This window comes from Homo sapiens, chromosome 3 (genome assembly GCF_000001405.40).
Source record: "Homo sapiens chromosome 3, GRCh38.p14 Primary Assembly".
NCBI lineage: Eukaryota > Metazoa > Chordata > Mammalia > Primates > Hominidae > Homo > Homo sapiens.
The window spans coordinates 96,986,596-97,011,858 of record NC_000003.12 but is presented as its reverse complement, the minus strand read 5'-3'; the positions used below and the strand labels follow the sequence as shown (position 1 = coordinate 97,011,858).

The 25,263-nt window shown below is 35.7% G+C and overlaps 1 protein-coding gene across 15 annotated transcripts in view; it reads right to left on the bottom strand.

Annotated features, from left to right (window-relative positions):
* The window catches only part of EPHA6 (EPH receptor A6), a 946,939-nt gene that overhangs the window by 749,674 nt on the left and 172,002 nt on the right, over window positions 1–25,263 (bottom strand). For 11 of the 15 annotated variants that reach the window (XR_001740110.2, XR_924126.3, XM_017006211.2 and 8 more), the window contains one exon: window positions 23,866–24,529. The exons of 1 other annotated variant lie outside the window; for it this stretch is intronic. Coding sequence is in view for 12 of the 14 variants with exons in the window: in XM_017006211.2 (XP_016861700.1) it covers window positions 23,866–24,529 (664 nt within the window). In the remaining 2 variants the exon portion in view is untranslated. Of the gene's footprint in view, window positions 1–1,724; window positions 1,856–17,909; window positions 18,171–20,801; window positions 21,463–23,865; window positions 24,530–25,263 lie in introns of those variants that run through there. 3 more of the 15 variants (NM_001278301.2, XM_011512706.3, XM_011512707.3) reach the window with 3 other exon arrangements.

Sequence of the window (25,263 nt, the reverse complement as noted above, 5' to 3'; positions counted from 1 at the left end):
AGGTACTCATGTATATAAAGATGGCAACAATGGACACTGAAAACTACTAGAGGAAGGAGCCGGGTGGGGGATAAGGGTTGAAAAACTATTGAGTATTATGCTCACTACCTGGGTGATGGGATCATTTGTATCAGAAACCTTAGTGTCACACAATATACCCACAAAACCAGCATGTAAACATATCCCTTAAATCTAAAATAAAAGTTGAAAAAGAAATAGAAGTTAAACAAATCACAAATACATTTTTAGTGTCTGTCATGGCAATTGGTCAAAATGCAAAATGAGAGAATTAGCTGGTATTAAAAAGAGTCCTTGAGAAATGTCTCCTAATGTAACCAGTATAGCCAGTTTGCTAGCTTACTCTAAAGATAATCCCTCCCTTGTTTGTTTCTTGATACACATATATGTAACTACCTGTTTGCTTGAAATGTCCAAAGGCTAATCTTACAACAATCCAGGCATGAGGCAGAGATGGCAGTTTCAATTTTCTTCCTTTCAAGATGAAACAGTTGTGCAGTTAATCCCTAACCTGACCTCTACTGAGATGATGCCAACCAGGCCTCTGGATAGTCTGTTACTCAAACTAGCAGTGGAAAACAACAAGCAGACCTGCACCATGCACACTCCTGTACAGTTTCCATGCAACCTTCCCCCTTAAAATCCCCTTATACAGACTGAGAATTTAAGATGGATTTTTCAGACTTGAGTCTGGCCATCTCCCAAGGTGTCACCACTTGAATAAAGCTGCTTTCCTTCTATGAAACCTTACTTCTTATGTGTTTGTCTTTTCAGGTGGCATGCATCCAAACCTTAGTTTGGTTACAAGTAAGTAGCAAGCACTTGACTAACACTCCTTTATGAAAATACACACACACACACGCACCACATACACATCCCTACATTTTTTACTAACAATCTCTCTCAGATATTTCTGCATTTTAATAAAAACCAAATTCTTTCCGAAGACAAATAAATATGAAATCCTCTATTGAAAGCTTTTGAATGTATATTCCTTAGCATAGATGCTTTGATAAATAACTGAGCATGGTGGCATGTGCCTGTAGTCCCAGCTACTTGGAGGCTGAGGCACAAGAATCACTTGAACCCGGGAGGTGGAGGTTGCAGTGTGCCGAGATCGCTACCGCACTCCAGCCTGGGCAACAGAGTGAGACACTGCCTCAAAATAAATAAATAAATAAATAAAAATAATTTTTTTAAATAAGATAAATGACTGAATAAAAAGATGGTTACCTTTTGAGGGAAATATTTCCAGTAGAGGTTTTATTCTATGTTTAATTACAAAAATGCTACCCACTAATATATGGCTAAAAAATAACAAGTTTGATAACTTTATATTTCCAAGATATGCATTAATTTGCTTATAGGGCAGAGGTATGCAAATATTACCCATAAATGACTAGATAGTAAATATTTTAAGCTTTGTAGGCCATATGGTGTCTGACACAGCTACTCAACCCTACTACTATAGCTTGAAAGCAGACACAGATAATATGTAAATGAATAACTTGGCTGTATTCCAAAACACTTTATTTATAAAAATGGGTTGGGGTTGGCAATCAGGCTATGGTCTGCCAATTTCTGCTACAAGTTATTACATGATATTACAAATAATCTAGAATTTCCCTTTGATTGACCAGAACCCATATTTCATACCAACACAATGTCTTCTTAATGAAAACACAACAAAATAAAAACAAAACAAATTTTGGCTGTAAATGTAACCGTTTAATATTTTAGTAATGCTACTCTTTTGCTTTTTCTTTTATTCTTCAAAGGTTACTGTTTCGGGGTGGGGCCAAGATGGCCAACTAGAAGCAGCGGCCTTTGGAGGCTCCTATCAAAAAAAAAAAAACAATGATAAGCATGTGAATCCTTCAACGGCAACCAAGGTAACCAGGTTCTCTCATCAAAATTGACTAGAAGGCTAGCATGACCCATGGAGAGAAGGAAGAGCAGAGTGGTGTGGTGGCCTACCTGAGAGCCACAAGGGAAGGGGAGTCTGTTCCCTCCAGCCAAGTGAGGTGGTGAGTGAGCATGCTACCCAGCCAGGGAAACTGCTTTTTCTGTGGAACTGTGCAACCCATGGATCGAAAGATCCCACTCATGAAACCATGACACCGGGGCGTAGCTTCCCAACCCTGGAATGTGCAGATTCTTACAGCCTCTCAGCTGGAATCTGCTTAAGCCAACGAAACTCCTTGGGGGAGGGGCAACCAGCACCAGCGCAGCTGCCTGCTGTCTAAGCCCTTTGAGCTCTTTGGCAGAGAGGAAGCAACCAGCAGTGGGACTGGCAACTGCCTACCACACTAAGCTCCCTGGATGGGGGAAGGGCAGCACCCATTTCTATAGCTCTAGGCTGCTCTTTTCCCCTGCCAGAGCCAGGGAGGCTGGATGGTTTGGTCCCAAGACTTGTCCCCACAGCCCAAAATACTGGCTGTGGCAGTATGCAGCCAGAATGCCTCTTAAGGTCTAACCCGGACCCATCCTTCCTCAGTGGGCAGGACTTCCCTGCAGGATCTCCAGTAACTCCAGCCAGAGGATCAGGGACAGAATTTGGATCTCCCTGGGCCTTAGCCCCTAGGGGAAGGAGTGGCCAACGGTCTCTGTAGAGCAGCAGACTTAGCCTTTCCTCTTGGTAGTTCTGAGGAATCCAGGCAGCCCAGACTAGTGGGTTTCCCTCCAGCAAAACACACCTTCTCCACCAAGGGACAAAGTGCTTCACTAAATGAGTCCTGCTCCCCGTGACACTCAACTGGGTTGTCAGACACCCTATACAGGAGTGATCCTACTGATATCAGGTTGGTGACCTTCAAGGTCAGAGGTGCCAAAAGAAGGAGAAGGCACCCATCTTTGCTGCTCTCCAGCCTCCATGAATGGTATCTCCAGGCAGGGGGGCGAATCAGATGAATAAGGCATGAAGTAAACCCCCAACAAACTGCAGTAGCCCTACAGAAGAGGGACCTGACTATTGAAAGAAAACCAAACAAGCAGAAAGGGACAACAACAGCATCATCATCATCAACAACAACAACAAAAGGGCCCCCATAAAAAACCCATCCAAGGGTCAGCAGCCTCAAAGGCCGAAACTACACAAATTCACATAGATGAGAATCAATGAAAAAATGCTGAAAACCCAAAAGGCCAGAGTGCCTCTTCTCAACCAAATGATTACAGCATCTCTCCATCAAGGGCACAGAACTAGATGGAGGATAAGATGGATAAATTGACAGAAGTAGGGCTTTAGGAGATGGGTAATAAAAAACTATGATGAGCTAAAAGAGCATGTTCTAACCCAACTCAAAAAGTGAAGAACCTTGATAAAAGGTTAGAGGAACTGCTAACTACAATAACCAGTTTATATAGCTTGAACATAAAACAACCTGATGGGGCTGAAAAACACAGCACAAGAACTTCATGAAGCATACACAAGTATCAACAGCCAAATCGACCCAGCGGAAGAAAGGTTATCAGAGTTTGAAGACCACCTTACTGAAATAAGACATGCAGACAAGAATAGAGAAAAAAGAATGAAAAATAATGAACAAAGCCTCCAAAAAACATGTGACTTCATAAAAAGACCGAACCTATGATTGATTGGAGTACCAGAAGGAGACAGGGAGAATGGAAATGAGCTGGAAAACACACTTCAGGATATTATCCAGGAGGACTTCCTCAACCTAGCAAGACAGACCAACATGCAAATTCAGAAAGTATAGAGAACACCATTAAGATACTCCACAAGAACATAATCTGCAAGACACATAATCATCAGATTCTCCAAGGTCGAAATGAAGAAAAAACTGTTAAGGGCAGCCAGGGAGAAAGGCCAGGTTACCTACAAAGGGAAGCCCATCAGACTAACAGCAGACTTCTCAGCAGAAACCCTACAAGCAAGAAGAGAGTGGGAGGCCAATATTCAACATTCTTAAAGAAAAGAATTTTCAACGAGGAATTTAATATCCAGCCAAACTAAGTTTCTTAAGCAAAGGAGAAATAAAATCCTTTACAGACAAACAAATGCTCAGGGATTTCATTACCACCAGGTCTGCCCTGCAAGAGCTCCTGAAAGAAGCACTAAATATGGAAAGGAAAAACTGGTACCTGCCACTGCAAAAACATACCAAAATATAAAGACCAAAGACACTGTGAAGAAACTACATCAACTAGTATGCAAAATAACCAAATAGCATCATGATGACAGGATCAAATTCACACATAATACTAACCTTAAATGTAAATGGGCTAAATGCCCCAATTAAAAGATACAGACTGGTGATTTGGATAAGGAGTCAAGACCCATCGGTGTTCTGTATTCAGGAGACCCATCTTGTGTGCAAAGACACACACAGGCTCAAAATAAAGGGATGGAGGAAAATTTACCAAGCAAATGGAAAGAAAAAAAAAAAGCAGGGACCGCAATCCTAATCTCTGATAAAACAGACTTTAAACCAACAGAGATCAAAAAAGACAAGGAAGGGCATCACATAATGGTAAAGGCAATAATTCAACAAGAAGAGCTAACTATTCTGAATATATATGCAACCAATACAGGAGGGCACAGATTCATAAGACAAGTTCTTAGACACCTACAAAGACACCTAGACTCCCATGCAATAACAGTGGAAAACTTTAATACCCCACTCTCAGTACTAGACAGATGAACAAGACAGAAAATTAACAAGGATATTTAGGACTTGAACTCAGCTCTGGATCAAGTGGACCTAATAGACGTCTACAGAACTCTCCACCCCAAAACAACAGAATATATATTCTTCTCAGTGCCACATGGCACTTATTCTAAAATCGACCACATAATTGGAAGTAAAACACTCCTCAGCAAAAGCAAAAGAACTGAAATAATAACAAACAGTCTCTCCAAACACAGTGCAATCAAATTAGAACTCAGGATTAAGAAACCCACTCAAAACCACACAATTTAATGGAAATTGAACAACCTGCTCCTGAATGACTCCTGGGTAAATGATGAAATTAAGGCAGAAATCAAGTTCTTTGAAATCAATGAGAACAAAGAGATGACATACCAGAATCTCTGGGACACAGCTAAAGCAGTGTTAAGAGGGAAATTTATAGCACTAAATGCCCACATCAGAAAGCTAGAAAGATCTTGAATCAACACCCTAAAATCAAAATTAAAAGAGCTAGAGAGGCAAGAGCAAATTAATCCAAAGGCTAACAGAAGACAAGAAATAACTAAGACCAGAGAAGAACTGAAAGAGATAGAGACAAGAACAACATTCCAAAAAATCAACGAATCCAGGAGCTGTTTTTTTGAAAAAATTAAAAAAAAAATAGACTGCTAGCCAGACTAGCAAAGAAGAAGACAGAGAAGAATCAAATGGACACAATAAAAAATGATACAGGGGATATCACCACTGACCCCACAGAAATACAAACCACCATTGGAGAATACTATAAACATCTCTATGCAAATAAACTAGAAAATCTAGTAGAAATGGATAACTTCCTGGACGCATACACCCTACCAGGAAGAAGTTGAATCCCTGAATAGACTAATAACAAGCTCTTAAATTGAGGCAGTAATTAATAGCCTACCAACCAAAAAAAGCCCAGGACTAGATGGATTCACAGCTGAACTCTACCAGAAATACAAAGAGGAGCTGGGACCATTCCTTCTGAAATTATTCCAAACAATTGAAAAGGAGGAACTCCTCCGTAACTCATTTTATGAAGCCAACATCATCCTGATACCAAAACTGGGAAGAGACACAACAAAAAGAGAAAACTTCAGGCCAATATCCCTGATGAACATTGATGCAAAAATCCTCAATAAAATACTGGCAAACCGAATCCAGCAGCACATCAACAAACTCATCCATCATGATCAAATCAGCTTCATCCCTGGGATGCAAGGCTGGTTCAACATACCCAAATCGATAAATGTAATCTATCACATAAATAGAACCAAAGACAAAAATCACATGATTATCTCAATAGATGCAGAAAAGGCCTTTGGTAAAATTCAATATCCCTTCATGTTAAAAACTCTTAATAAACTAGGTATTGATGGCACACATCTCAAAATAATAAGAGCTATTTATGACAAACTCATAGCCATTATCATATTGAATGGGCAAAAGCTGGAAGCATTCCCTTTGAAAACTGGCACAAGACAAGGATGCCCTCTCTTACCACGCCTATTCAACATAGTATTGGAAGTTCTGGCCAGGGCAATCAGGTAAGGGAAAGAAACAAAGGGTATTCAAATAGGAAGGGAGGAAGTCAAGCTGTCTCTGTTTGTAGACGACATGATTTTATATTTAGAAAACTCCATCATTTCAGCCCAAAAACCTCTTGAACTGATAAGCAACTCCAGCAAAGTCGCAGAATATAAAATCAATGTGCAAAACTCACAAGCATTCCTTTACATCAACAATAGGCAAGCGGAGAGTCAAATCATGAATGAACTCCCATTCACAATTGCTACAAAGAGAATAATATACCTAGGAATACAGCTAACAAGGGATATGAAGGACCTCTTCAAGGAGAACTACAAACCACTGCTCAAGGAAATAAGAGAGAACATAAACAAATGGGAAAACATTCCATCCTCATGGATACGAAGATTCAATAATGTGAAAATGGCCATACTGCTCAAAGTAATTTATAGATTCAATGCTATTCCCATCAGACTACCATTGACATTCTTCACAAAATTAGAAAAAAAAGCTATTTTAAATTTCATATGGAATCAAAGAAGATCTGGCATAGCCAAGACAATCCTAAGCAAAAAGAACAAAGCTGGAGGCATCACACTACCTGATATCAAACTGTACTACAAGACTACAGTAACCAAAACCGCATGGTACTGATGCCAAAACAGACATATAGACCAAAGGATCAGAACAGAGACCTCAGAAATAACACCACACATCTACAACCATCTGATCCTTGACAAACCTGACAAAAACAAGCAATGGGGAAAGGATCTCCTATTCATTAAATGGTGCTGGAAAAACTGGACACTTTCCTTATAGCTTATACAAAAATTAACTCAAGATAGATTAAATACTTAAATGTAAAACCAAAAACCATAAAAACCCTATAAGAAAACCTAGGCAATACCATTCAGGACATAGGCATGGGCAAAGACTTCATGACAAAAATGCCAAAAGCAACTGCAACAAAAGCCATAATTGATAAATGGGATCTAATTAGTCTAAAGAGCTTCTGAACAGCAAAATTAACTATCATCAGAGTGAATGGGAAACCTACAGAATGGGAGAAAATTTTGGCAGTTTACTCATCTGACAAATGTCTAATATCCAGACTTTAAAAGGAACTTAAACATATTTACAAGAAAAAGACAAACAACCCCATCAAAAAGTGGGCATAGGACATAGACACTTCTCAAAAGAAGAAATGTATGTGGTCAATAAAAATATGAAAAAAAGCTCAACAGCATTGATTATCAGAGAAATGTACATCAAAACCACAATAAGACACCTTATCATGCCAGTCAGAATGGTGATTATTAAAAAGTCAAGAAACAATAGTTGCTGGTGAGGCTGTGGAGAAATAGGAATGCTTTTACATCGTTGGTGTGAATGTAAATTAGTTCAACCATTATGGAAGACATATAGTGATTCCTCAAGGATCTAGAACCAGAAATACCATTTGACTCAGTAATGCCATTACTGGGTATATAACCACGGGAATATGAATCATTCTACTGTAAAGACACATGCATGCATATGTTTATTGCAGCACTATTTACAATAGCAAAGACATGGAACCAAACCAAATGCCCATCAATGTTAGACTGGATAACAGAAACGTGGTATCTATATACACCATGGAATACTATGCAGCCATAAAAAGGAATGAGACCATGTCCTTTGCAGGGACACCAATGAAGCTGGAAGCCCTCATCCTCAGCAAACTAACACAGGAACAGAAAACCAAACACTGCATGTTCTCACTCATAAGTGGGGGTTGAACATCCATTAAGAACACGTGGACACAGGGAGGGGAACATCACACACTGGGGCCTGTTGTGGGGTGGGGGGGTGAGGGGAAGGAATTTAGAGGACGGGTCAATAGGGGCAGCAAACCACCATGGCACAAATATACCTATGTAACAAATCTGCGTGTTCTGCACATTTATCCCCCCTTTTCTTTTTGAAGAAGAAATAAAGAAAAAAAGAAATAGGAAAGCAAATCATTTTTAAAAAGTTATTGCTTCACTACAGTTATAAATTTTCATGAAAATCCTAATTTGTATCCTACAAGTCAGCCTCATTTTATTATAACTTTGCCTTAGGCTTCATTTTAAAGCAACAAGAAACTCTGTGGGAATTCTCTTTTCCCCAAATAGATCTCTCCACTAAGGTACGATGGCTGCTAATTTCCAACATTCAACTCACATTTAATTGTGAGAGTGACTCTTCTGGGGCTTAGTTAAGAAATTGGCCTATAATCCCAGCACTTTGGGAGGCCAAGGTGGGAGGATCACCTGAGGTCAGGAGTTCGAGACCAGCCTGGCCAATATGGCAAAACCCCATCTCTACTAAAAATACAAAAATTAGCTGGGCATGGTGGTGTGCGCCTGTAATCCCAGCTACTTGGGTGGATGAGGCAGCAGAATCTCTTGAACCCAGGAGGCAGAGGTTGCAGTGAACTGAGATTTCACCATTGCACTCCAGCCTGGGCGACAAGAGTGAAACTCTGTCTCAAAAGAAAAAAAAGAAAAGAAATTGCAATACTCACCCTATGTCCAAATGATCATTGTTTCTCCTCCCCAATATCAACCCCTACAACATAACAACCATGGCATTAAACAATCTGTCTATTCTTCCCATTAATTAATAAAGTCAATTTCACCATTGTTTTACTACTTCATGTAATTTAGTCTATTTTTAAACTCTTTTCTTGGTAACATTGATGAATATTTATCTTTGGAAGTTAATACTATATATTTTAAATATAGTCCTTTAAACACATTTTAATATCTGCCAGGAATACTCTTCTAGTTTACTGTTCTTTTTAAATATTCCTTTATATTGCAATGCATTTGTTATTTTATACAAAAATGAGCACCGTTTTTGCTGAATTCAAAGTAGCAAAAACAGTAAGAATTTTGAGTCTGACTTCTTTACAACTCCTATCCAAGAACATAGTATATATATTATATTCTTTATGTCACTCAAAACATATTTATACTTCATAGCATTCAACAGAATCTCCTCATCCCAGTTTTTAATAAATTAAAGAAAATACATAATATTCAACATTAAGGTAACAATCCATCAAGGTCAAATAACTTAACTTCATTAAACCACAGATTGGTCATCTAAGGAAATATATTATTATAACATATCTCATGATAGATAAATAGAAAAATTTTATGGTCACCTCAATAGATGAAAGAGAATTTCTGAAAAAAAAAAACAACCCTCATGAATAAAAATTATTTACATAAGTAAGGTATGCTATTTATTTTATAGGCTAATTTAAAAAATTATATACATATAATATTAATACTTCATCTCCATAGTGAATTAGTTCATAATAGCAATCTATATATAAATGCACCCACATAAAATTAGGCTTCAAGAGGAAAGTCCTCCTGGTCATAATGCAATTATTAAATTAATAGAGAATCTTCAATTAACACAATTTTTACATTTAATTTTATTAAAAATATTTAATTGTAAACATAAAGAATATAGGCTCCTTAATTACGAGGCGGTAAAAAATAACCAATCCTGAAGAGTAGTTTACTTTTAAAAAAGAATAGAAATAAAACCAAGAAATGAGAATATTAGTCATTTATTTTAAAAAAGACCAAATATACCATAATCCTAGTTAAAGAATTCTATCCAAGACAATAGTTATCTCTGTCCAACAGAACAGTGTTTCCATCTTTCAAGAGGTTTTCATCACTTTTTATGGCAGTCACTTTTGATACTGTCCAATAATGGGAATAAATCATGCTTTTTTCTGTCCATTGCTGCAGAAAAGCAGAGCTTGTTTTTACGGTCTCAATGTTCCCATCTATTTTTGGTACAGCATGCTTCTTTTCATGCTGATAGTCCTTGTATACAGTGACTTGAAACTGAACATCTCCATCTCTTTAAATTTACCACTACTCTACAGTTCCCTGTAAAACTGAGACTACCATTTCCAGTAATAATATTGATTTATTTATTGATACTCATTCTAAAAAAATAGTTTGTAGTAATTTCAGATTGAAAACGATAACTTACCAGAAGTTTTCATAATATCATAATGGAGAACTATTTATAAAAGTCAAATTTTCAATTGATAGTATCACATGCCAAAGGAAGGAAAAAACTGAGTACAAAAAGTATTATTTCCTAAAAAGGCCACATGAATAACTGAGAACACCAGTAATTTCTTAAATTTTTGTAAAGCTATTGTCTCAAAGGACTCAAAAATATTACGAATGTCCTCCAATATCACCATAAGTTATATCCGAGTTTATGTCCACATCTGGGATGATTTTCTTACAAGAGACAACAAGATATCTTAAAAACAATTTGAATGTATTTATGTAAAATACATTATTCTTCAAATAATGCATGAACTGTTATTGCAGAAGGTTTACCACAAATGTTCCCTGTTGCTATTTTTAGTTTCTATATGAAAATAATCACATTTTCTTCAAAATAGTTGAATACTATTTATTTCTATATAAAGAGAATAAGGTTTGAATTTATAAAAATAACTTTAATTTGGCATACTTAGTTCGGTTTATATCTGGTTTTATGAAACACACACACACATATATACGAACACACATGCATATATATATATATCAATTTCTGACTGGGCTGGAGAGTTTACAGAAAAAAAAAGTAAGAAGCTTTGGGCTTTAATCTTTCAGATCAAAATATCCTCAGAGAACCACAGATTTAGGAAGGCTGTAAAGAAATGTCTTGCCTTTTGTAGCCAGATAAGACACAGCTAAAAATCTAAAAATCAGGCCCCAAATTTAATTTACATTGCTAAGATATATACACTATATATATATATATAACTTAGCTTACTACCTGCCTACTGTTCAAAAAAGAAAAATCCTGATTACCGTAATTACTTGACATGACAATATTTAACCTTACACTAAAAACCTTTACCTTGTTGATTACATACATGTCATTTCTATGGCAAGTTTTTTAAGAGGCACTTGTATACTATATATGCTCTCTTTCTTGGATACATATATGCTCTACTCATTGGATACAGATAACAACAAATCCACAGGTGATAACAGAGCTAGAGAAAGAAAATGCACAGTTCCCTTATTTTGTGTATGATGGAAAGCCCTCAACAACAAGCAAACCTTAGACTGTAACGTGAATGAAAAACTAACTTCTACATTGTAAGGCTCTGGACTTTGAAATTTTTGTCTGTTACCTCAGCTTTTAAACAATATTTTAACTCCAACATATACATATATATATATAAAATATATAAAAAAAGCACACGTGTGTGTATACATATATATGGCTATATATGAGTGGCTATATATGGCTATATATATGTGTGTGTGTGTGTGTGTGTGTGTGTGTGTTTATACATACACACATGGTAATTGGAATAGACCCATAACAAAACTCTAAAATAAGTGACATTAACTTAGCAATCAGGGGACAGGTGATGTGTAACAGGAGGCTTTGGATAGATGAAAATCTATATTACACAACAGTAATAGCCTTGGTATAACTTTTTAATATGCAATAACTTGGAAGGCCGGCCAACAGCTATGATTTCTTTGTCTTGGTTGCTACTTGACACATTTAACAATATACTAATATTTCCAGGAACAGATGGGTTCAGTCAATAATTAGCTGGGTTGAGAGCTGGAAGGAAAAGAAATAGGAAAATCTTTTTGGGTAGGTAATATGAAGCTCTCCAAAAGATATGGACACTGATTAAATGGTGTGTGTCATTGTTCTCAATGACCTTCAACTCCACTATCTGTGAGATTCTTCTGTCATCCATGACCATTTCTGATGTAGTTACTGGTGGCTAATCAGCTCTGACAGCCTGTGTTATGCTTATTCATCTTAGGGGTTCAGGGATTATTTGAGCCTGATGGAGAAAACTGTGCATTATCAGACACATGAGGATCAATATCTATATTTTGTTGGTGAAGTGACAGACTGTTGCAGAGATGACCAAATGTCTAGAAAAATTTGGTCTTCCTCTTCCATGGCAGAGAATTGTTTGTGGAAAGTGACTACTGAGCTAAGAACAACATTTAATAGCAACTCCCTCTATTTGTGTTATGTGTAGCCATATACTGTAGTCATTGTTGGTATGTGATAGGAGATGATATGTGACTCTTCAAATATGAGTTGACTAAGAAGGACATAAGTCTGCTCTAATCTCTGAGCTGGATACAGACAACTACAAGGCTTTAAGAGATGTCTGCTTTACTAAAGGCAAGAAGTCTGGATCCCTGAATTACTGCATGAAGCAGAACTACCTGTCAACCAGGATTACTAACTTGAATTCTTTGGGAAATTTATTAGGCCCCTTAAATTTTCTCTATTTAAAGCCTAGGGAACTGGGTTGGTATAATCACAAACTTTTCAAATAAAAAAACTGATGACACAGTAACAGAAATCAGACAGGAAAATATGAAATTTCCAGAAAGTCAGCCTACTACAATTCCAAAGTACATGATAGACCCAAATGCTTAGAAATGTAGGCAACACACTAAATAATCAGATTAATTTGATCCAAATCAATTAGAATGGGACCTTAAAATATATCCAGAATAAAATAACCATAAAAGAGGAAGAGAATTATGTAACAAAGTAGGCAGAAATGAAACAAAAAGTAAGAACGAAAAAGTTAACAACTAAAACTAGTGAAGATAAAGATATCTCAACAGATGAGGTAAACTCTTAACTAGGCATAGTCAAAGTGAAAATTCTAAACCTGGAAATTATTGCTGAGATTTAAATTATTTCAAAGACAGGATAAATTGAAAGTTTCCAACAAACATATTTAATAAAAATTCTAGAAATACAGAATAAAAGAAAGCAATCTTTCTCTCTCTCTCTTTCTCTGTCTCTCTCTTTCTCAGGTTAAAAACACAGAATGAAAAGCAGGAAAAAAATAAATCCACACCCAGACACATCAGATATAACTAAAAACCAAAAATACAGAACCTATACATAATCTCCCAAGAAATGACAATTAAATTGTCGGCAGATCATTAGCAATAATAGATTCTCATAGACGGGGAAATAACATTTTCAGAATGTTGAAGAAAAATCATCATCATCTTGTATTCTACATCTAAATAAACAATCATTGAAGAGGGAGAGAAAAAATAAAGCTATTCTTAAATATCCATTAAATAAAAATCTTAACTGCTCATAGAACTTTATCAAAAGAACTACCAAAAGACATACTTTTGAACCCAAAAGAAAGGAGATAATGATAGACAAAATGAAAGGTACAAAAACTGTTACTATATATTGATGTTTCCAACTATTGCATATATATACATATTAATTTCACTTGTTTAAAAGGTAGAACTAAAATTCTAGGCAGAATTCACATGAAAAGGAGCCATTTCAGTGGGTGACATGGGTAACATGGTAAGTCATGTCTGGAAAGAGTACAGAGATAGTGAATAAATTTATGCTCCCATAGAAATGTGTGTAAATTTATTTACATAAATTTGACTTTTTAAATTAAGGACAGCCCTATAGCCCTACAGGAATATGACTTCAATATAGTCTTAAAGTTAACAGAATAAAATATGGACTAAACTTGGTATTAAATATGTGTAAAATAATTTGCTAAAATTATAATTTCAAGTAGGTTTGCCCTTTAACCTATTTTATAAATCATGACAAAGAACAAACTATAATGTACAAGCATGTCTTGCTTTACTGAACTTTATTGCAATTTGCAGATATTGCATTTTCTAAACATAGAAGGTTTGTGGCAACCTTGCATCAAGCAAGGCTATTGGTGCCATTTTTCCAAAAGTGTGTGCTCATTTTATGTCTCCATATCACATTTTGGTAATTTTGGTAATTCCAGCAATATTTCAAACTTTTACATCCTTATTACATGTAATGTAGATCCTATATCATAGGTCACCATAACAGATATTATCAATGATTTTTTATGTTACTTTTGTATGATTGGTGATTTTCAATGTCCCTACCCTATTTTGGGGGTGTACCATAAACCATACTCACATAAGCCAGAAAACTTAATAAATAAATATGGTGTGTTCCAGCTGCTCCACTCACTGGCCATTCTCCCTTCTCTCTCTGTCTCCTTGGGTCTCTGAGACACGGCAATATTGAAATTAAGCCAATAACCCTACAATGACCTCTAAATGGTCAAGTGAAAAGAAGAGATACACTTCTCTTACTTAAAATCAAAAGCTACAAATGATTAAACTTAGTGAGGAAGGCCTTGAAAGCTGAGATAGGTGAAAACTAAGCTTCTTGCCCCAGAGTTAGCCAAGTTGTGATTGCAAATAACAAGTTATTCAAGGAATAAAAAGTACTACTCCAGTGAACACATGAATAACAAAGCAAAGCAGCCTTATTGTTGAGAAGGAGTTTTAGTGATCTGGACAGAAGGTCAAAGCAGCCATAACATTCCCTTAAGCCACAGCCTAATCCAGAATAAGACCCTAACATGGAATTAAAAATTCCATGAAGGCTGAGTGAGGGGAGGAAGCTGCAAAATAAAAATTGGAAGCCAACAGCAGTTGGTTCACAAGGTTTAAGGACAAAAGCCATCTCTATAAGACAATAATGCAAGGTAAAGCAGCAGGTGCTGATGATGTAGAAGCTGCAGTAAGTTATCCAGAAGACCTAGCTAAAATCATTGAGGAAGGTGGCCACATTTAGGGTTTCAATGTAGATGTAACAATCCTTTTGTAACTAGAAAGGAGAAGTCATTGCCTGGCATCAAAGCTTCAAAGGACAGGCTGGATCTCTTGTTAGGACCTAATGCAGCTTGTGAGTTTAAGTGGAAGTCAATGCCCATTTACATTCTGAAAATCCTAAACCTAGTAAGAATTATGATAAATCTACTCTGCCCATGCTCTATAAATGGAACAACAAAGGTTGATGACAGTACATCTGTTCACAGCATGGTTTATGGAGAATTTTAAGCCTGCTGTTGAGACCTACTGCTCAGAAAATAAGATTGCTTTCAAAATAGTACTGATCACTGATGATGCACCTGGTCACCTAAAAGCTCTGATGGAGATACACAGGAAGAGTAATGTTGCTTTCATATCTGCTAGCACAACATCCATTCTGCAGTCCATCAATCACAGAGAAATGTCAACTTTCAAGTCTTATGGCTTAAGAAATATATTTTCTAAGGCTATAGCTGCCATAGTGATTCCTCCAATGGATCCGGCAAAGTAAACTGAAAATACTCTGCCAAGAACTCAACACTCTAGATACCATTAAGAACATCTGTGATTCATGGGAGGAGGTAAAAAAAATCAACAATCACAGGAGTTTTGAAGAAATTAACACCTACCCTCAAGGATGACGTTGCAGAAAATAACTGCAGATGTTGTGGATATAGCAAGAGAAAAAGCAGAAGTAGAGACAAGATATGAATGAATTGCTGCAATGTCATGATAAAACTTGAAAACATCAGGAGTTGCCCTTCATGGATGAGCAAAGAAAGTGGTTTCTTGAGACAGAATCTAATTCCAGTAAAGACACTGTGAATATTGCTGAAATGACAGCAAAATGTTTACAATATTATTTCAACTTAGTTGATAAAGCAGCAGCAGGGTTTGAGAGGACTGACTCCAATTTTGAAAGTTCTACTCTGGGTAAAATGATATTAAACACCTAGCATGCTACAGAGACATCTTTCATGAAAGAGTCAACTGAAGTGGCTAACTTCATTGTTGTGTTATCTTAAGAAATTGACACAGGTACCAAAACCTTCAGCAACTGCCACCCTAATCTGTCAGCAACCATCAATATCGAGTCAAGATTCTCCACCAGCAAAATGATTATGACTTGCTGAAGGCTCAGATGATTGTTAGCAATTTTTTAGCAATAAGGTGTTTTTAAATTAAGCATGTACATTGTTTTTAGATACAATGCTATTGTAAACCTAATAGACAATAATAGTGTAAATATAACTTTTATATTCACTGGGAAATCAAAATATTCATGTGACTTGCATTACTGCGATATTTGCTTTATTGCTGTGGTCTGGAACTGAACCTGAAATGTGTCCGAGGTATGCCTGTAATTATTCAACTTTATCCTTTCTTGCTTGGAAATAATACCTTCTATTTTTAGACTTCTCAGGATTCTTGATTTCACATTCTTTTCAAGATAGATGAAAGTCTGGAATTGCTTCATGAAAAAGCTGCTTTGTTTGGAATTGAAGGTTATAATATAAGAGTTTATATTCAGTGTGTGAGAACCTTTAGAAAGTGAAAATACTACCTGAGCCAATAAATCTGCCCTTTTTTTCTGATCCCAATCTTACCTTTCAGCTTTTCATCATATCCTCAAACTCCCTTATTTAATGCCAGCAAATCCTGGTATCTCATATTTCTTTATGCTCTCTGCTTGCACAGTCATCTCTGATAACATGATTAGACAGAAGATCATAAACACACAGCATAAATGTTTCTGAACTGCAGCAGAGGATTGCGCCATGAAGCCTTAATAACAACACTCTTCAAGAGATCAAATCAATACAATGTCACTAAAGGCCCTGTATATCCCATTTACCTTCGTGAACAATAATGCAATGGTCCGAGAATTGCCAGCATCCTTTCCTTCTGAATTTTAATGCACTACTAGAAAAAAAGTTTTAAAGCATATTTCTAGGCAGAAGAAAGGTTTTTAATTATGCCTAGTGTTTCACAATTTTAATTTTCATAGACAAATAGTATTTAGTTAAGTTATACTGAGTGATACATATATATATATAGCAATAATACCTTCTTTAAGCCTGTAGGTATATATAGCTCTCTCTCTCTCTCTCTATATATATATATACACACACATATTCTCAGCCTGTAGGTATATATATAGCTCTCTCTCTCTCTCTCTCTCTCTCTCTCTATATATATATATATATATATATACACACACACACACACATACACACACACATTCTCAGCAGGTCTAAAATTTTAAACACAAACTAATATCTCTAAGTACAAGTACCACTACCTTAATGAGATTCATCCTAAATTAATGTTTAAGAGGAGCTTATTAGGGATTCATGCTACTTCAGAACTCGTATAACTAAACAAAAATTGCATTCAATTTTGCATGTTGTTTCCAATTATTTCTTCCATAGTGCTAAAATAGTCCTAGACATATAAACTGAAAGACCATTTGATGTAAATTAGCATAATACTTTGCAAATCAATGTTATTTTTAAATTCAAAACCTTAGAAAAGTCTGACATTAAGTAGAATAAATTAAAACAATGTTAAATCTGTAACATCAACATGTCCAATATGACAGTCTTAATTATGAATCTATGAAATAAAATTAAAAGTTATGAAATATCAGCTGAGATTTGAAAGAGGACTAAAATACTGCTTACTATGTATAATAAAGCAACCCAAATTATTCGTGTTTGCTTTTAAATTTTAGCAAACATGCTTAATATAATCTTTCTATCTATTTAAGCCTGGTTCATACAGCAAGAGTAAAAGTCTACTGCCCTCTTTTGTGCTTCTAGAATTTGGATACAGGTAAGCCTTAACAATATTATGCAAAAAGGAATCACAAATTCAAACATTCAGTAGTACGACTTTTTGGATAAAATATCATAACAAGTTATTTAAATGCAATTTAAATATACATCAATTTAAATATACATCATTCAGTAGATATGGAGTATGACTAGATACAGATTTATTCTATTTTAAATCAGCTTATTGTGTCTTAGTTGCATAGCTGACCAAGAGGTCTCAAATTCATTCAAGCAAATTACAAAAATCCCTAAAGCCTCACTGTAATTTTTCCTGTTTATCATCTCTAAAAGCAAAGTTCCAGATGAATCCATATCTATATATATTTTCATCATCCTCAGCAGCATGAATTTCAAAAGTGATGCTTAAATCTTGCTCCAGCAGTGTCCACATTAGACTCCTGAAGAGAAATAGAAGGCAGAGCAGGCCTAATTAATAATGAGAAACTTAGGGCTCCTGTGCTTTGGGTCTGGCAGGCAGCAAACATTGAAGCATTTCAAAGTGAGGGCATAGATGTCTGGAATGAGGAAATGAAAGAGTGAGAAAGAATAGTGGGGGCCAGGAGCAGTGGCTCATGCCTGTAATCCCAGCAGTTTGGGAGGCCGAGGCAGGCAGATCAGGAGGTCAGGAGATTGAGACTATCCTGTCCAACAAATCTCAGTTACTCAGGAGGCTGAGGCTTGAGAATCGCTTGAACCCAGGAGGCGGAAGTTGCAGTGCGGCAAGATCGCGCCACTGTACTCTAGCCTGGTGACAGAGAGAGACTCTGTCTCATTAAAAAAAAAAAAAAGAATGGGGGATAGGTGGAAGGGAAACATATAAAGGCCAGATTAAGACATATTTGGGCTTTGTTCTCAATCTAACATTAGTTACGACTGTGTGGCCCCAGGAAATTAAATTCTGTTCTCAGTAATTTAGTGTCCTGATTCATAAAATGATGGATAAAAATATTTTCTAAGGCCTTCCAGATCTAAAATACTACAACTCTCCCTCAAGAAAATTTACTTATTTCACAGAAATGAGAAGAAACAGAGCATTCCACAGGAGCACCAACAGGCTGCACTTTTAACTACTCAGTGCTTTGTGATCATTCACATCATGTGATTTTTTAAGTACACCTCTTTTATCTGACAGCCCTAGTGAAACAGATACACAAATAATTAGCACAAATTGTAGCACAGAGGAGAGTGATAATAACTTTGTGAAGACCCAGAGGCATGACATTGGTGTTAGGTCTTGAAGAATAAATACAATTTCATCACAGAAAAAGAAGAAAAGGGTACAAAAGCAGCTAGGTAAAATATGAAAAAAGGTAAGAGATACAAAAACGCATGGATTGTTCAAAAATTATAAAAACCAGAATAGTGGACAGAATTTGCTGAGGTTACAAAAGAACAGGACAAGGTCAAAATGTACAATTCCTTGAATGCTAAGGTGAGTAACCCCTTAGAATCAATATATCAGAAAGAAAAAAAAAACTAGAATAATTTCCTGAAATAAAACATACTAAAATTGTTACCAGGATTTAGACAGTACACAACGTTACCTCAGACACAACAGATGAAGCATTATACATGAGTGAAGCCATCTTAGACATGCAGCTCTGTTAAACCTCCAAATAACTGCAGTTGCATGAGTGACCTCAGATAAGACAGGAAAAGAATGACCCAGTGAACCTCATCCAGATTTCCAGATTGTAGAAACTGTAAGCAAATAACTGGGTGTTGCCGTAACAAAAAGTTAAAACTTGTGATATTTGCTTTGGGATTGAACAGATGGTAGAAGCTGAAGAATAGCATGGAGATTGTGAGTAGAGGCTGGAAGATCAGTAAAGAAATTGTTAATGGGGATACTAAAAGGTCAACACATGTTATGTACTGAGCAATTGGCAATAATCCTGCCTGTGATAGCTTGGAAGAGAGAAAAACCACTTCATAACGTTGTTGATCAAATTAAAGAGGTTTCCAGACAGCTGTTGAAACTAGCAACTAGCATGTTGCTAGTTGCAATTCTTATAAACAGAGTGAATGACTAAGAGTGCAGCGGCAAGATACTAGTAAGAAAGCCAAAAGACACAGGGAACCAATCACAGGGAGCAGAACTGGGCTCTAATCAGAAAACATTCTCTGCCCCTGCAGTCAGGGACCTTGAAAACACCAGTTGCACTTCACAATCACAATGGACCAGTGACTGTTGTGTTCCCTGCCTTTCGGAATGGGAGAAAATTTTCCAATTATCCTGCCCCTGTTCCATGTGTGTTGTGTGTGTAAGGAACCATAACTTATTTTTAGGTTCTTAGTTCTGCAGATCAACAGGGATTTTAGCAACGAAACTTCATTTGAATCTGGAACTGATTTCAACATGCTATATTGGACTTCAACATGATGTCCTAATGTGATAAACCTTTGGGAGGGTGTGGGATTTTGTGCATGACGAAGGGACATTAATCAGGAGAATCCAGAGAGAAGACTGTAAAATAATGTATTGTCATGGTGGCAGTCCCCTATAAATAAACTTTCAGGTATTCACTCTTGTGCTATCTCCTCGGATACTCATTTTACAGATGGTTATGTGAATAAACTCCCTCTTAAGCCAGCAACTACGCTCCAGGAAAGCTTGGGATAGATACTAAATGATGAGAGGCCACATAGAGAAAGGCCCTGGAAGATGAGGGGCTATCTTGGACATTCCAACTCAAGTCAAGCTCCCAGTGGAATTCAGCTACATAAGTGATGGCTGTTTATTGTACATTAAGCAGAACTACTAGCTGAGCCCTGAAAAATAATAAATCATTGTGGTTTTAAGCCAATACATTTTGGGCTGTTTTGTCTCATAGCAATGAATAACAGAAACATATGCCTTATTTATGTTTATCTCTACCACTTAAGAAAGTGATTAAGAAATAGTAAATGCTCAAAAATATCAATAGTTTGGGGCTGGAAGCAGTGGCTCACCCCTGCAATCACAGCACTTTGGGAGGCTAAGGCAGGAGGATCGCTTGAACCTAGGAGTTCAAGATTGGAATGAGCTATGGTCGCACCAGTGCACTCCAGCCTGGGTGACAGAATAAGACCCTGTCTCTAAAAAAAAATCAATACTGTAGATTAATTAATTGTTTACACAGAATAGACAAGAAGAAAAATAGTGATATACTCATTTTTTCTTTTCCTATTATATATGTGGTCACTTTTCTACTTGTACTACAGTTTTTTCATATAAGTTTGAATTAGTTTGACCTTTTGATTATATGTAATTCAGAGATTTTTTTTGTGAGAAAAGTTATGAATAGATGGCAATAAAAGCAATGATAAAATTCTCATCAGAGGAAAGAAAGGGGCAACACACAACATCAAGAACACACATAAAAGTAAGTACTCTAAAATGAACACTGGTGGTAGTGCACTATATATATCTTTAAAATAATGTAGTCTCCACATCCACTCTGACATTTCTTTTGTTTATAAATAGCAATTCATTATATTTAATTAGAATCAGGCATGTTTGCTTGTTGTTAATAGTTTTACATGTATTTCATCTTTAGGTGATTATAACCACTACTTTATAAATTTAAAAAAAACACCTGATTTTGAGGTTTGTAAGCCATAGATATAGAATTCAAACTTAAATCTTCCAATTTCTGCCATCCACTACAAGGTGATGAACAATTGTTCTGTACTGACTCCCTCATGTTTCTGCAATCAGATAAAGGATAATAAAGATAACAAGCCATAAAAACACACAAGTAGAAGCTCTAGATAAACAGATGCTGCTTATCATTTGTCCAAAACTATCTTTGCCAAATCATAGAAGAAATTTGCAGGCATATAAATAAGAATAAAATTTCACAGCAAGCATATTAAGTAAAAAAAAATCTAGACATCACGGTTGGTTACTTTAATTCTGTGGTAAATGCCATAAAGAAATACAAATATTTAGTAATAGCAAATCACATAAATTCTTAGATTAAATAATTCTTCAAATATTTAAAAAACTGTATTTTTTTTACCAAGTAATGGCTTTCTACCTAATTTAAAATATGGTAAAACTGATGTGATTATTACACATATTACATGTCTGTACCAAAAACACTACATGGTTACTCTGTGTAATACATTTTATCCTTAGATCTTATTGTCTTCTCCACTTAACTGGATAATTATTCATATGTATAAATTTTTCTTTAGTGCACTGATATGGTGTGTCTATGTCCCCACCCAAATCTCATCTTGAAATTCTGGAGGAGGGGCCTGGTGGGAAGTGATTGAATCATGGGGGTGGACTTCCTTTTTGCTGTTCTCATGATAGTGAGTTCTCATGAGATCTGGTTGTTTGAAAGTGTGTGGCACTTTCCCCTTTCACTCTCTCTCTCCTCTGCTGCCAGGGTAAGGCATACATGCTTCCCCTTCGCCTTCTGCCATGATTGTAAGTTTCCTGAGGTGTTCCAGTAGTGCTTCCTGTTAAGCCTGTGGAAGTGTGAGCCATTTAAAACTCTTTCCTTCATAAATTACCCAGTCTCAGGAAGTTCTTATAGCAGTATGAGAACAAACTAATACATGCACTTTCCAATGTAAAATATCTTTAGATCCTAACTCCAGGATAATTTATGGTTTTTCTCCATTATAAATCCTTGTTATAAGTGAATAAAAATTTTGATAAACTATATTGATAACCTATATTACTAAACTTGAATGAAACATACTTTAATGATTAAAAGCACAGGAAAGCTGATTCATGCTTTGTAAAATATATACTACCGACTTCTCATGCAAATATTAGTATTCTCCAGTTACAAAACATAATCATCACTGGCAGCTTGAGCGAACTTCTAAAGAGTCAAGAACCCAAGTGTTTTATAAACAGAAAAAACCTTTAAAACTTCACATATATTATCCATGACCATTATATGCATACAGATGTTTTTCTTATTTATTCTCATCCTTTTTAATGAATGTGAATATAACATCAACAAAGAAATCAATAAACTCAAGCTGGTGCTGTAGAAAACACCCTCTTAAGAAGTTATCATTGAGAGGGAAATATCTCCGGTATATTACTATTTACCATGAAATAATTTTTTTTCTATATTTGTGTTTTGATTATGAGTCCTAAATCTAATTATAATCAAACGTATGCTCTTTATTAGGGGGTATATAAAATTTTTGAATGTATATACTTATTAGGTAAATAAGCCTTCATAAAATGAATTACATAAAAAGTGAAAAATGTTTCATCACGAAAATTATAGGTATTTCATTGTTAAAACAATGTGAAAGGTATAGTTCTAAACTTAACTAGCATTTTGCGATGTTAACATTTCCTGACAATTAGATGTCACATAAATACTACTATTAAAATGAAAAGCTAATGTGTTATATGGTGAAAAATTCTATGTAATAATAGCAAAAGATTAATTAAGCTCTGATCAGGTCAATATTCAACCACCAAACATCATACATAACACCCATATAAACTAGCTTATACATTTTTGAAATAAAATATACATGAATCCCTCATTTATTTAAATATAATTCTATTTAAGTACAATTCAAGTATTATAATTCAATATGATAGAAATAATTATTGCTGTCTTTAAATGTCATATTTCTATAAACTGTAAAAATGTGAACACCAGGGAAATCACTATTTTGAATCTCATTGCTTTTTGTTGCTGTTGTTGATGCTGCTTTCCTTTATAAAAATTAGGCGGATACAGCAATTCATATTGTTTAACGACTTTACTGAAAGCACTTTGGCACAATTTCATACACCTTTCCCAGGAGAAAAATGACAGAAATTTTCTTATGGTTAATATGAATCAATTGCTTTCACAATTAATTATCAAGTATACCACTCAAAAATGTATTATTTGAAATAAATGTATAATATTTACTTTTAATAAATCGTCATTTTGAAAAGATCAGTGTTTGAGATGATGGATATATTAACTACTTTGATCTGATCAGTATACATTATATGTATCAAAACATTACTACACACCCATGAATATGCACAATTACTATTTGTTAATTTAAAAAATAAAACTTTTTTAAAATCATTTAAATGCAAGATAAATTATTTAAATGTTTGTTTCTTACCATGGCAAGAACCCTCAATTTCTTCATATCCTGTACTGCAGATGCACCTTCCAAGAGGAACCAGCCAATCTCCATCAGCTCCACAATACAGTTTAGGAGTGTCACGCTCTTCAGCACTCTTCACACAAGAACCCCGTACTTCAACCAAAGAGGAGGAATCAACCCTTGGAATGGTATCAGGAAACATGGCCAAGTTACGAACAGTGAAGGGGCATTTCTTGTAGAAAACACGGACTGAAACCAGGGCAATGCACGCCCCAATGTCTTGAAAAGCCAGATAAAATCCTTTCCTTTCTATAGGCCCCACCTCACGAATTTCAGTGTTGAGTTTGAGGATGCGATCACCCAAATCCATCTGGGTAAAACTCTCATCAGCAGCAATTGTGTCGATCTTTGTATACTGGTTTGGCTTGAATTTAATTCCGTGGGACTCATCTGATTCCATATAAAACAGATTAAATGTTTCTTTGCAAGTCCCCAAGACCCATGGGATGCTGTTACAATCCCTTAGTGTGAATTTCATTTCCACATAAATTTTCTGAGCTGCATCACGGGAGATCCAGTTTGTACGAAGCCAGTTGTTTTGGTTTGGTTCCATTACATTACATACCTGGTATGTGTGAATGGGCCTATTATGTTCATCCATTTCAGTGATGGCATCCCACTGCAAAAAGGGAAAAAAGTAATTAAGTGATTTTAAACCACAGTGATTAAACAGAAATGATTACTTACAATTTTTTTTGTTTTACCAAAATAAAAATGAATTAAAAGGATACAAATGAAGCTACTCAAAGTATCAATGGAACAGCATTTTAACCATGAGCCTTTAGTTAAAAGTACAGGTTCTAGAATCAGCTGTCCTGTCTTGCCTTCCTACACATTAATTGCATGACAACTTTATTTGATCACTAGTTTCCTCAACTGTAAAGGAGCTGATAATAGTACCTGTTTCACAGGGTTGTTGTAAGGTGTAAATTAGATAAATACATGTACAGCACTTCAGATAGTTCCTGGCATACTATAAGAACATTAAATAGCATCCATTATCTTATCAGAACAACTAAATATATAAAAAACGCACTTAGGGTTTCCCATCTTTCCTTATATCCAATTTGCCACAAATTGTGGTGTGTTTTCTTTGCCAATAGTCAATTAAATATTTATATGACTACTTCAATAGCAAACAGACATGGATAAGGCCTTAGGCTTATTCGATAAATATTTATCAGGCATTCCCATACCCTGGACACTGGAAATACAGCAGTTAACAAGCTGAACAAAAACTCTCTGCCTTTATAAAGCTTACTTTGGAGGGAAGAGAGACAATTAAAAAGTAGAAATGAATAAAACTAAATAATATGGTAGAAAGTACAATGGGGAAAAACAGGTCAAGGAGAT